This window comes from Homo sapiens, chromosome 5, assembly GCF_000001405.40.
Source record: "Homo sapiens chromosome 5, GRCh38.p14 Primary Assembly".
NCBI classification, from domain to species: domain Eukaryota; kingdom Metazoa; phylum Chordata; class Mammalia; order Primates; family Hominidae; genus Homo; species Homo sapiens.
Genome location: NC_000005.10, coordinates 146,445,949 through 146,459,629, shown reverse-complemented (window position 1 = coordinate 146,459,629; position 13,681 = coordinate 146,445,949). Strand labels below are relative to the sequence as shown.

General features: G+C 41.7%; 1 protein-coding gene across 76 annotated transcripts in view, besides 2 other annotated features; it reads right to left on the bottom strand.

Moving 5' to 3' along the window:
* TCERG1 (transcription elongation regulator 1) overlaps positions 1-12,300 on the bottom strand; it is a 64,632-nt gene extending 52,332 nt beyond the window's left edge. For 59 of the 76 annotated variants that reach the window (NR_174451.1, NR_174417.1, NR_174415.1 and 56 more), the window contains exons 1-4: positions 12,222-12,297; positions 4,349-4,574; positions 2,295-2,447; positions 293-746 (exon numbers count right to left, since the gene is read on the bottom strand). Coding sequence is in view for 23 of the 76 variants with exons in the window: in NM_001382548.1 (NP_001369477.1) it covers positions 293-746; positions 2,295-2,447; positions 4,349-4,574; positions 12,222-12,280 (892 nt within the window). In the remaining 53 variants the exon portion in view is untranslated. Of the gene's footprint in view, positions 1-292; positions 747-2,294; positions 2,448-4,348; positions 4,575-5,065; positions 5,113-12,131 lie in introns of all 76 variants that reach the window. The other 17 variants (NR_174407.1, NR_174406.1, XR_001741983.3 and 14 more) reach the window with 7 other exon arrangements.
* Positions 11,927-12,634: an enhancer, noted in NCBI's record as "NANOG-H3K27ac-H3K4me1 hESC enhancer chr5:145826559-145827266 (GRCh37/hg19 assembly coordinates)". NCBI's record gives its function as "activates a minimal SCP1, AML or CMV promoter by ChIP-STARR-seq in primed H9 embryonic stem cells {active_cell/tissue: H9 hESC(primed)}" and the evidence as "EXISTENCE:reporter gene assay evidence [ECO:0000049][PMID:30033119]".
* Positions 11,929-12,008: a silencer, noted in NCBI's record as "silent region_16488". NCBI's record gives its function as "represses an Ori minimal core promoter by ATAC-STARR-seq in GM12878 lymphoblastoid cells {active_cell/tissue: GM12878}" and the evidence as "EXISTENCE:reporter gene assay evidence [ECO:0000049][PMID:35858748]".

Here is a 13,681-nt window from a genome sequence, read left to right as displayed (position 1 = left end):
TACACTTATTTTGCAAACCCACAATGCCCGGCATTACTGTTGGCCAAGTGGAACAGCTAACTTTGCACTTTCTCAATTTAGCTTCATAAACTGCAACTGGGCAAATAATTTCTCCTGTTAATATAAATTCCTGTTTTCCTCTAACCCAAAAGTTTTAGTGTCAAAAATGTATTTTAAATAATTCTGGTATTAAAGGATAATACCAGAAACACTGGGATCAATATGAAATGTAGTCCCCTACTTGTTCATGTCTCTAGCCCCTATATAAAAACACATGCTGAGTGGTACTCACTTGATACTGTCTGCGCAACTGAAGTAGCAGTTGTTGTGGTAGAAGTGGTAGAGGAAGGGGTGGATGATGATGTTGAAGTGGATACTGCAGGTGCTGGGCTACTGGTCGTAGGGGTGGAAGCTCCAACTGCTTGTGCTTGCACTTGTGCCTGGACCTGGGCCTGGACCTGAGCCTGGGCCTGGGCCTGAGCTTGTGCCTGAGCCTGAGCCTGGGCCTGGGCTTGGGCTTGGGCCTGGGCCTGGGCCTGGGCCTGGGCCTGGGCCTGAGCCTGAGCCTGGGCCTGAGCTTGTGCCTGGGCCTGAGCCTGCGCCTGGGCCTGAGCCTGCGCCTGGGCCTGAGCCTGAACCTGTGCCTGGGCTGCAAGCATAGGTGTCAGTTCTGATTGCTGAATAACCTTAACTCCATCTGGCTTGGTCCATGCAGATTCACGTGTCCGAGCATTATAATAATAAACCTGCAGCGGAAGCAAAAATCAATGGTATCATAAAATCTGTCAGTTATTATTAAAAACAAGAATGGAACCATATTTTATCTTTAAAGCTATTTAAAAATAACGTAGGGCCAGGCGTGGTGGCTCATTCCTGTAATCCCAGCACTTTGGGAGGCAGAGGCAGGTGGATCACTTAAAGTCAGGAGTTCAAGACCAACCAGCCTGGCCAAAATGGTGAAACCCCATCTCTACTAAAAATATAAAAAAATTAGCCAGGTGTGGTGGCCGGCATCTGTAATCCCAGCTACTCGGGAGGCTGAGGCAAAACAATCACTTGAACCCAGGAAGTGGAGGCTGCAGTGCGCCGAGATCATACCACTGCACTCCAGCCTGGGTGACAGAGGGAGACTCCATCTCAAAAATAAAAAATAGCTGGGCGCGGTGGCTCACACCTGTAATCCCAGCACTTTGGGAGGCTGAAGTGAGCAGATCACCTGAGGTCAGGAGTTTGAGACCAACCTGGCCAACATGGTAAAACCCTGTCTCTACTAAAAATACAAAAATTTAGCTAGACGTGATGGCAGGCGCCTGTAATCCCAGCTACTTGGGAGGCTGAGGAAGGAGAATCACTTGAACCCGGGAGGCGGAGGTTGCAGTGAACCAAAGATCGCACCACTGCACTCCAGGCTGGGTGACAGCACGAGACTCCATCTCAAAAATAAAAAAATAAAAAATAAAATAAAATAAAATAACTTAGGGCCAGGCACAGTGGCTCACGCCTGTAATCCCAGCACTATGGGAGGCCAAGGCGGGTGGGATTACCTGAGGTCAAGAGTTCGAGACCAGCCTGGCCAACATGGTGAAACCCTGTCTCTATTAAAAATACAAAAATTAGCCGAGCATGATGGCAGGTGCCTGTAACTCCAGCTACTCAGGAGGCTGAGGCAGGAGAATTGCTTGAATCCAGGAGGCAGAGGTTGCAGTGAACCAACATTGCACTACTGCTCTCTAGCCTGGGCGACAGGGTGAAACTTCCATCTCAAAAAACAAAAACAAAACAACAAAAATAGGTAATTCCACCCCACAGCCCAATTTTCTATAATGAGCACAAAGGAAAACCCATGTTATGTTTTATGCAGAAATTCAACATAACAGACCTGAGACAGCTATCTGTAGAAAGCCCTGCTGACCCTTATCTGGAGTCCAAGAACTTGGATTTCAGGAGGGTTGACATTCCCTTACTGATAAGAATGGCTCGATGTGCCTAAACCAGCTACGCTGAACACCTGCTTTCCTTCTAGGAGCCTGGAATTTGGTATGTGCTAGGCAGATGGTACCAATGTGACCAGAAGCTTCCAGAATCACAGGTAAATGTGTGTTAGCACTCCAGGCAACCTTATATCTGCTGCACAAAAACTAAATCCAGTCAGCTTCTCCTGAAGTCTTACCCCATTCCCTGCTCACCCAGGGCTCATTCTTAAATGACAGTATCACTGACCTCAATCTGCCAGAACTCTTTAAGTTTTACTCCTCTGTCAACAAATGACAACTTAAATATATTTTATTATTTACCTTCCCATCTGGAGTTTTATTTTCAACCCATATCTCCTCCGTAGGAGGTAGTGCTGGAGTACCAGGAGCAGTCACAGGAGGCATTCCTGGTGGAAACATCATACCCGGAGGAGGAGGCATGGAACTCATGGGAGGAGGCATGAAAGGTGGTCTCTGTTAATTCACAAAAACAGTAATGGTCACTTTAATTACTTTTCCTCCAAATTATTACTGAATTCTATTCAAAAGTAAAACACTGTAAGAGAAACTAGTTTTATAGTCTATTCAAACACATTCACCTGTCATAGAAGCAAAATGTCTGCAACAAAAATTACCAAACAAACTAGAAAGAAACACATCAAACTACTAATAGTGGTCAACTCTGGGTTATAACACTGTCAGTGAATTCTGCTTTCTCCTTTCTACATGATCTGATTTTCACACACAGGGCGCTGGATTACTTTTTTTAAAAAATTGATTTTTATATCCTGTTTTAATACCAGGCACATCACTGTCTCCACAGCTTCTTGAAGAATCCTTCAAGAAAAAGTTTTCACTGTGCATAAAAATGAGTTTCAAAATTAAAAATTTGACATTATGACATTATAAAAACATTTTGAGCAGGGATTTAAAAGATTTCCTCTATAAGCTGTAAGTAACATTAAAATTCAATTATCAAAAGCAGCTTAATCTGGATAATGGAACTCAAACTATGCTAATAGTGTGAAGTTGTACTTTATTTTCCTAAAAATGTCTTTCCCATACTCCAATCTTTGCTGGATTCAGTTGAGTATCTTTCAAGCGTCAGCACACCAGATCTAGGTTATATAAAATATCTATCCCAAATACGTTTCATGAGCCCTTGGCTGAAAATCACTTGGACTTAATATAAAGCCAAACAATTATCCAAGACCAAGAAAGGCATGACAACATTAGAAAGTATCTTAGCACAACATTTGATATATTTCAATGAGAGGGTTACATTAGTCCATTACATTTTATAATACTCCAAAGTAGGTTTAACTCTTAAAGTCACAAATTAGAACAAATTCACGTTAAAGATTATACCAGAATAAGTTAAAAAAACTATTTCTTATTCTAACCTTGAAGCAAATATAAAACCATTTAACAGTGTGTTTAAAGGAAGGAGAGGCTATTCGTTATTAGGAAGGCCATAAAATTATTAAGCAAAGTATTAAAACCTGTCTCTTCCATAACCACAACCCTACCTAAACAGAATTAACATCACTTAAATGGCACATCATTGTCTTCTTCCATTTTTAGTATAATTCATTCTTCACTGTCTAAGCTAATGGAAGGCAGATGATACCACTATATTTATTTGGTTTCAGAATTATACAGACTAAACTAAGAAAACATAGATACATACTCAAAAAGAATACAATCCCAAAATGAGACATTTGAGAGTTCATACCTTCATGACCTCACCTCAGACAGTAAGTCTGGATACACTGGAGAAGGATCTATGCCCCAGGTTAAAATACCATAAATGTTTTTATTTAAAGAAATCCCATAATAAATCGTTTTCAAAAAGAGTAAGATAACCCTATTTTCCCCCCAGGGGAGAAAAAAAATTCAACTATGTGCTTATAAAATGTGTTTGCTGTCACTTTCCAGATTCTATCCTAGGCACCATTTCCAGGAGGAAGACTTACTCAGGAACATATACACATATATTTTTAGACTTGCTGGCAACATATATCATTGAAAATAAATTTTCTCCACTCAAAAATATCTTAAAATTTCAAACTTCATTTCCCATAAAGAAGATGCATTACTAAAGCCAATTCACAGAGCTAAAGGTAGGTAAAAACTATTGAATCCTGGTTTTATACACATACTTCTCTATCACCATCTAAAGTCCTATTCTGAATTTCCATAGTAATTACTGCTACCACTAATTCAGAAGAAACATATTAATATATGGATCTTCTCTTTAGCTCCCATTTTCCTATAAACTGAAACTATTTAAGAATGTAAGTTTTTAACTCAAAACCCATATATAATATTGATAATGATGCCAACAAAGAAATGGCAACCTCTACATTCTTTACCTGGAGGTGTGGAGGGCCCATAGGTGGAGGTATCCCTCCTGGAGGAGGCATTGGCGGCATATTAGGATCAAAAGGAGGACGTCCAAAGGGCGGCCGTGGTGGTGGAGGAGGGCCTCGCATCATACCAAAAGGTGGAGGAGGTCGCATCAGAGGTGGTGGGCCTCGCATCACTGCATTTGGTGGGGGAGCCGGACCTCGGAACCTCAAGGCCTGCTGTTGGGCCATCCTGCATGGGAAAGCAAGGAATAAATTTTTCTTTCTTAAAATTACAAAAATGTAGCTACTGATCTCTAATTACATCCATCAAATTTAAAAGGTTCTTAAGTCTAAGTGGAGTTGGAAAGTCATCATTTTGCAACCGTCATGATAAAAACTACATCAATGGGCCGGGTGCAGTGGCTCACATCTGTAATCCCAGCACTTTGGGAGGTCAAGGCAGGTGGATCACCTGAGGTCAGGAGTTTGAGACCAACCTCGACAACATGGTGAAACCCCATCTCTACTAAAAATACAAAAATCAGCCAGGTATGGAGGCGCACGCCTGTAAGTCCTGCTATTGGGGAGGCTGAGGCAGGAGAATCACTTGAACCCGCAAGGCAGAGGTTGCAATGAGCCAAGATCAAGCCACTGCACTCCTGCCTGGGCAACAGAGCAAGGCTCCATCTCAAAAAACAAACAAACAAACAAACAACCAAAAAAACAAAAAAAAAAACTTACATCAATGGATGATCTAGTTTTGGATGAATGATCAATGGATGCCGAGTCTAGGCAAAAATTTAGACAAGAGGGTTATCTGATGGTCTTAAAGTATTTACCCACATGCTGCTTAAAGTTGCAAGAAAGGATGAAAAAAAAAACACTCTACATAATCTACGTAATAAGGAAATTAGGCAATACCTTGACCCCGTGATCAAAACTAATTATCATCTAAGAAGGACAGATAGATAATGTGTGACTGAGAGAGACACGACATCACCTATTCCGACCAAAAATGTATAACCTCAATCTAACAACGAGGAAAGTATCAGACAAACTCAGAATAAGGAAGGAATGTTCTTTCTTTTCTTTTCTTTTTTTTTTTTGAGACCAAGTCTCACTCTCTTGCCAGGCTGGAGTACAGTGGCATGATCTCGGCTCACTGCAACCTCCGCCTCCCGGGTTCAGGCGATTCTTCTCCCAAGTAGCTGGGACTACAGGCATGCGCCACCATGCCCGGCTAATTTTTTTTTTTTTTTTTTTTTTTTGTATTTGAGTAGAGATGGGGTTTCACCATGTTGGCAATGGTCTTGATCTCCTGACCGCATGATCTGCCCTCCTCGGCCTCCCAAAGTGCTAGGATTATAGGCATGAGCCACAGCGCCTGGCCGGAAGGAATGTTCTATTAAAAGGGGGATGTGTATTCTTCAGATATGTCAATGTTATCCATAAAAGACAAAGAAATGTTGTGGAAATGCTCCAGATTAAAAAAGGTTAAAGAGTCATAACAACACAATTTTTTTTTTTTTTTTTAGAGACAGGGTTTTGCCATGTTGGCAAGGCTGGTCTTGAACTCCTGACCTCAGGCGATCTGCACACCTCAGCCTCCCAAAGTACTGGGATTACATGCGTGAGCCACCACGCTCGGCCAATAACAACACAATTTTAACTCTAGATTGGATTCTGTACTAACAGGAGGAAATGCCATACAGGGCATTGCCAGATCAACTGACAACACTGGAATATGCACAACAGATTAAAGTATTATATCATTACAAATTTATGAAGTTGATAATTAGGCTGTAGTTAAGTAAAATAATATCTCTATTCTTAGAAAATACTGAAGTATTGAAGGGTAAAAAGCCATAGGTATACCTTACCCTCACAGTTCAGAATAACAAAGAGGATGCACGTGTGCACGCAAATAGTAAAGCAGAAGAGGTAAAATATTAACATTGAATAACACCCTAGCTTTATTTTTGCGACATTTTGTAAATTTGAAATTACTTCCAAAGTTTTTAAAGGGGGCAGGGGGGTCACTTGGCAGATCATTAGTAGTCTCTACCTAAAGGGAAAGCCTTTCCCTGTAGGGCACACTGCCCCACCACCCCTCACTCTCAACACCCTAATGTATTTTCTCCACAGCATTTAAGCAAATAAGTAATATCACATGAGATAGTATTATCTATCTCTTCCCCCAAGTGCTTTTGTAAAGAGAATTATTAACTCCTAAAAGTGCTTACTATGAGCCAGGCAGTGCTTGCTCTAAGCTCTTTTCAAAAATTAAGTCTTTTAATCATCAAAACAACCCAATGAGATGGATACTATTAATCTCAGTTTATAGATAAAGAACTAAAGCAAAGAAGTCACTTGTCCAAGGCCACACAACTGGTTCAGTACTAAAGCCAGGATTCAGGTGGCCCACGGTGGCTCGCGCCTGTAATCCCAGCACTTTGGTGGCCAAGGCAGGCAGATCATTTGAAGTCAGGAGTTCAACATCAACCTGGACAACATGGTGAAACCCCATCTCTACTAAAAATACAAAAAAATTAGCCGGGCATGGTGGTGCACGCCTGTAATCTCAGCTACTTGGGAGGCGGAAGCAGAAGAATTGCTTGAGCCTGGGAAGTGGAGGTTGCAGTGAGCCGAGATTGTGCCACTGCACTCCAGCCTGGGCAATAGAGCAAAACTCTGTCTCAATAATAAATAAATAAAGAAAATAAAGAGAGGATTCAAACACAGGCAAATGCTCCTTCAGAGTAGGAATTGTGTTCACTCTTGTATCCCTAGCACATAGATCTGTACATAGTAGGGCTCAATAAATATTAGTATTAGTATTTGTTGCATGAACCACTGAATACCTAGGTGATACAGTACCCAAACTACCTTACAAGTAGCGTATGCAGGATCTTAAAAAAATTATTTTTACAATTCCACCCATTTACTGAGTACCTATCATGGTATTCCCAGTAGCTACTATACATCTACATTATACATAAAAAACCTACATTTCTGTCCTCAAGAGAGGAATTAACAATTATATTCTTTATATATTTGAAAATAATCATTCTTATAGTCTCTCGTTACCAGGCTCTTTCAACTTTCTGACATTTTTCAACCCTCTGCTTATAGATTACCCTTTGAACTTTCTCTAAATTTACCACATCATCGTTCAATTCTGACACACACCAAAAAAATCCTAATAAAGAACCAATTTAGGCCAGGAGCAGTGGCTCATGCCTGTAATCTCAGCACTTTGGGAGGCAGAGGTGGGCAGATCACTTGAAGCCAGGAGTTCGAGACCAGCCTGGCCAACATAGCAAAACCCTGAGTCTATTAAAAATACAAAAATCAGCCAAGCATGGTGGTGCATGCCTGTAGCCCCAGCTACTTGAGAGGTTGAGGCATGACAATCACTCAAACCCAGGAGGCAGAGGTTGCAGTGAGCCGATATTGCACCACCGCATTCCAGCCTGGGCAAGAGAGCGAGACTCAAGTCTCAAAAAAATTAAAAAATTAAAAAAAAAAAAAACTAATTTGCCTTCTGGACTTGTTTACAGTCCTGGTATAACCAGGACTGTAAACAAGTCCAGAACTACTACACCAAGTATATTTAATCAAATTTGCAAATGATCCTACAATCCAAAGGTTAGAAAATATGAGTTAAAAAGGAATATGGGCCGGACGCCCCCCGGTGGCTCACGCCTGTAATCCTAGCACTTTGGGAAGCCAAGGCAGGTGGATCACCTGAGGTCAGAAATTCGAGACCATCCTGGCCAACATAGTGAAACCCCCACTCTACTAAAAATACAGAAATTAGCCGGGTGTGGTGGTGCTTCCCTGTAATCCCAGCTACTCAAGAGGCTGAGGCAGGAGAACAGGAGGAACCTGACAGGTGGAGGCTGCAGTAAGCCAAGATCACACCACTGCACTTCAGCCTGGGAGACAGAGCAAGACATTGTCTTAAAAGAAAAAAAAAAAAAAAAGGAATATGGATCGCATCAAAATAATCAGAAGGTCTTTTTCAAATTATATGCATCCCCAAAAGACACAGGCCACTGTTACTGAAGGAATGTCCAAACTTTTAGGGCAAAAAAAAGATAATCACCAAGGAAAGACACTCTGTTTCAGGCTTGAGTTAATAATGTACCCTACTCTTAGATTTTCTTTCCATCTGCCTCTCCTTTTTTCAAAAAGTCTACAGTATTCATTTCTGTACAATTTCATACTTCCTGGTTACAGCTTGAAGTTAAGCATTTAAGATCCAGAACCATAAAAAAGCCCTGTTAGGACTCCGTCTTTTGTTGTCAGGCTAGTTACATAATTTCTGAGCCTTGAGTTTCCTCAGATGTGAATGAGTAAGGAACAGAAAAGGTATCTGATATCACTGTTCAATGAGATAATCCCGGTGAAACATTTAGGGTGGTAGCTGGTACACAGTAAACTACTTCAACTATCATTACTTTCATTCCCCCACAAAACCTAGCAGTGTTTATCTGTAAAAGGCATTTCATTATTAATTTGTTATGGTTTTCAAAAGTCTGCCACTAAAATGGTGACAAAATTCACATAATTTCCTTTTTTGAATAGCCTGAAGTTGCCATTTTCTGATGTTAATTACGCACAGAACATGGGCTGGGCTCTTTATATTATACTGCTTCATCACAACAACCTCACCAGAACCTGCAATGAGGATTAAATGAGCTAATAAAGTACTTGGAATAGTGCTTAGTATGTAAGTGCTATCTAAGTTATTAGCTATCATTACTGTTTCTGTAACATTAGGACAGTAATAGTACTGGTAAGTGTTAAATAATATTAATATTAGTAATGTTAGCTATTATTACTATAATTATTATATCAGGCCCTGTATAACCTGGCCCACATTAACCTTTCCACAAATTCTAGTCTTTTCCTTTAAATATTTCAAGTTTATTACTTTGAAGCCTCTGCACCTGTTCTCTTTGCCGAGCATGTTCTTCCCCAGATTTTCACATAACTAGCTCCTTCTCATTACTCAGCCTCTAGTTCAAATGTCACCTCAAACTGTTTTCCCACTTCTGGCCTCTACAGGCCCTCTCAGGATCATTATTCCTAATTTGAGTTTTCGATTATGATAAATGCTATGAAGAAATCTCCCATTTACTTCTGTATTATCTTTAGCCACTAGTATATAGTTCCCTTTAGTATACTGTTGCAACACATTAAAACACATTATTGTTTTAATAATGATAGTAAAGTTCCTATATACCAGCATGGTTATACAGACATTATCCGTATTAACTCTTAATCCTCACTACAGCCCAATAAGGTAAGTTTGACACCATTTTTACAGAGGAAATGATAGCACAGAAAAATATTTTCTTAAGGCAGCTAGTCAGTGATAACACCAGAATATTCTTATTCTCATTTTATAGATAAGGAAATTTAGATTGCAAGTATCTTAAGTATTGATAGGTAAACAAAGGCTCTAGGGAAAGGATCTATACAAATGACTCTGGAAGTTACTTTAATGGTATTTGGAACGTCTATAAATTTTCCATCTATTGTGATTTGCATTCCTACCACTTACAACCTTTCTGAAAAACAAAAGCCTACTTGCATGAATAGAAGGAACAAAAATATTTCACAAGAACATCATGGAAATACAAACATAAGGTATTTTTCTACAATAGAAGTTCTCTATCCAGATATGCAATCTCCCCAATGCTAAAGACAATACTTTAACTGGAGGGGCAAGAAATAAAAAGATGCTACCGATATATGGGGGCAAATTGTATAAACTATGATTGAGGAGACCTGAGGTTTAGTCCAGACCCTGCCAACTACCCAGTGACCTTGTGTAAGTCACTTCACACTTACAGGCAGATTTAATCATTTGATGTGGTTGATTTCATTTACAATTTAGATGGCTCTTACTTAAGCTGGAAGCTCCTGCAGGACAAACCTCTTTTTTCGGTCTGGTTCAGGGCACTATTACCAGCACCTAGGTCAGCAACTGTCATGTAGCACACAATAAATGTCGGCCCAATAAGTGAAGTATCTTTAAATCTCCTATCTTCATTTATTTACAACATAACTACAGAACATCTCATTTGCCAGGCGGTTATGACAGACACACCATGAAGTACATTCAGGTTACAAATATAATGCAAAAATTAAGCCCCAACTTCTGCCATCAAAGAGGCCACATACACACCTAATTTCATGAGAAATGCTAAAATAAAGATCTGTACAGTATGCTCTGCAAGCAACTTCCAATCCAAGAGGCTACGGTATAAAATATTTGCAACAGGGCAAATTCATTTGCAAATTAAAGCTCTATTCAAATCAGTTGTGCAACAGTGTCTAGACTATTAATAAAGCCATTTGGATTTTTTTAAAGCTTTAGAAAGATACTTTCTAAAATGCAAAAGAATGTTCCCTAATAAATCCATCTGAAACTAGCTAAGTAACCTCCCTTTAAGATCGAAATCAGGAATAAACTTGGCATCGCTAATATTTAAAGATGCTGACAATTCACCTTGATCACTCATTAATACTGTATACATATGGAGTTTAAAGGATTTCAGATTCATCTCTGAAATAAAACAAAATTTCATTTCTGCCAAAGTGGAGATTTGTGTGTGCGACCATACAGAATCTGAAAGGCATTTTCCTCTTCTAAAACCTTGAATAACAATACCCATTTCCTTACACAATTTCATCTTAAGTTCAAGACAGTATCAACAGAGTCTTCATAATCTACCCTGCTCTTTTTCATTTTCAAACGTTGACAACAGCACAATTCAGAATGGGAGCTGAACATCTGAAATGCCATTTCTCCCATACAGAAAAAAACCAAAGTACCAAATACACATAAAGCATAATACCTCTTTTCCTCAAAAACCACTGACCAAAAGATTTCTCCAGGTCACTCTCATTTTACCAAATTTTAATTACAAACTCATAGACACTGAGGTTCCAGGGGAAAAAAAGGTCACTGCACTGTTCAAGGAAATGGCATGAGTAGTAGACGAATAGAACGCCAATTGGGATTGCAGGCTCTGAAACCTGACTGCCTGAGTTCAAGCCACTTCCTGGAGCCACAAATCCGCCTATGCAATCTTATTCTACTGACTCAACCTCCACGAGGCTGTTATCTCACCTGTAAGATGGGCGAGTAACAACTGAAGACCCCTCTGGTCTGTGGCCTGCAAAATGTTAATAGCAACTACTCCAAAGGGTGGTTGTGAGGATTAAATGAGACAAACCTAAGTAAAGGGTTTACTGGCACACGGTAAGTGCCTAATAAGGGGTTGCTACTGTTGTTGTTACTCACAACTACAGGATAATAAGGAATAAAGGGATGAAAAAAGGAAGAAAAGCCACAGAAGTTAAGAAAGGCAAGCAATGAGGGGGATGAAATGAAAGGGCAAACGTGGGGAGCCCAAAGAGCCGCGGAGGGCGTGGAGAAGGCTTAGCCAGAAGTGGCGAGGGGTACAGGGAAAGTAACTGCGGAGTGCAGAGACGTCGATGAGGAAAATCAGGCCCGCAGCGGAGCGCGGCCTGGGGACAGACTCAGGTCGGCCGAGACGGAGGCGACACGCGGCTGAGGCGGGGCCCAAAGGCGGGAGCACCGCGCCCGGCCAGAGGGCTGCAGGCCGCGAGAGGCGGCGAGGCCCCAAGAAAGCACTAGGAAGCAGCCAGGGAACGCGCAGGAGGCCCTGGCCCAGCCCGGGCCCGGCTCTCATTCAAGCCACCTTCCCCTTCCCCCTTCTTAAACCCCATGCGGTCCCGGCCCGGGCCGCCCGGCTCCGCTACCCACCGTCCGCCCCGGATCTCCACATGGCAGGTCTAGCGTCTAGCCTCTGGGGCTCTCGTGAGCAGAGATGTGAAGGAGGGCAGCGTTCCTTACCTGAGCTCCCCCGGGTTGAATCGTTCACTCTCGCCCCCGTCCCCGCCACGCTCCGCCATTACAGAGGGCCGCGTTCATCCACCCGCCGACCCGACGTCTCCTATTGGCTAGAAAAATCGTCAATCCCCAACGAGAGAGGCGGAGACAGCAGAAGTCTGAGATGCGGTTGGTCAAACTTTCCATCAATCTTCGAAATGGGGGCGATATGTTCTTTGCTATTGGGCAAGGCGCCCGCCGACTTTGAAAGCGGTATGAAGACAGCCAGTTGATTGGTGACTCGGGGGCTTTATGGGAAATGAGATTTTAGCAGTGAGGAACCGCCGGCGCCCTCTCGCGGTAAGCAGAACTAAGTCCTCCCAAGTTCGGCTCAGCCTGCGGTAGCCACGTGTCTGTCGGCTTCCAGGAGAGCCAATTGTGGAGCCATATTGGCCAGTAGTAGCTCAGGCGGAGAGCATTTCCACTGGGCAAGCCAATCAAAATCGACCTGGGCCGCGCCTAAACCGATTGCACAGTTGCTGTGGAAAGCCGCTATTTCCTAGCTTTACAGTAGCAGGAGTCTTAAGTCACCACTCAGCTCTATATCCATGTTATTAAATAATATATTATTAATTACAAGAATACCTCCCAAATTATACTAAACCGTTGCAAGCCAATAGGTGTTATAAGTTGCTGCATTAAGAAAGGTAAATTGGCGAAGGCAAGCCTCTTTGCAATTTACAGCTTAACCACGTCTCCCTCGATCTCAAAATGTGCTTGTCTGAAATTAGCACACCCAGAATACCAGACAATTCTGAATATTTATTTAGTTTTTCTAATTAACAAAAAAAAAAGTTTTGGATTTGGGGTTTCAAAGGCACAATGAAGATGAGCCCTTTTATTAAAGTCGTAAAAATATTAAAATAATACTAATAGATAAATTTTACTTGGACCTAACCATGTAGCAAACCCGGATCTAAGTATGTCAGGTACGTTAACTCTTTTAAGATTCAAAAATTGCTAGGAGGTGGGTAACATAGTCACTGTTTGTAGATGAGCTTGAGGCACAGAGAAGTTAAGTAACTTGCCCAAGGTCACACATCTACTAAATAGCAGAGCCTGGTCTTAACCCCAGTCAGCGTAGTAGCAAAGCAGCACTCTTAAATACTGTAAGCCTAAATAATTGGATCCACATAAAAACATGTGCACAAATGTTCACAGCAGCAATATTCATAATAGCCAAAAAGTATTGTAACAACCCAATGACCATCAGCTGATGCATGGTTAAGAAGCATGGTATAGGCCGGGCGCGGTGGCCCAAACCTGTAATCCCAGCACTTTGGGAGGCCTAGACGGGCGGATCACGAGGTCAGGAGATCAAGACCATCCTGGCTCACACGGTGAAACCCTGTCTCTACTAAAAACAAATAGCCCGGCGTGGTGGCGGGCGCCTGTAGTCCCAGCTACTCGGGAGGCTGTGGCAG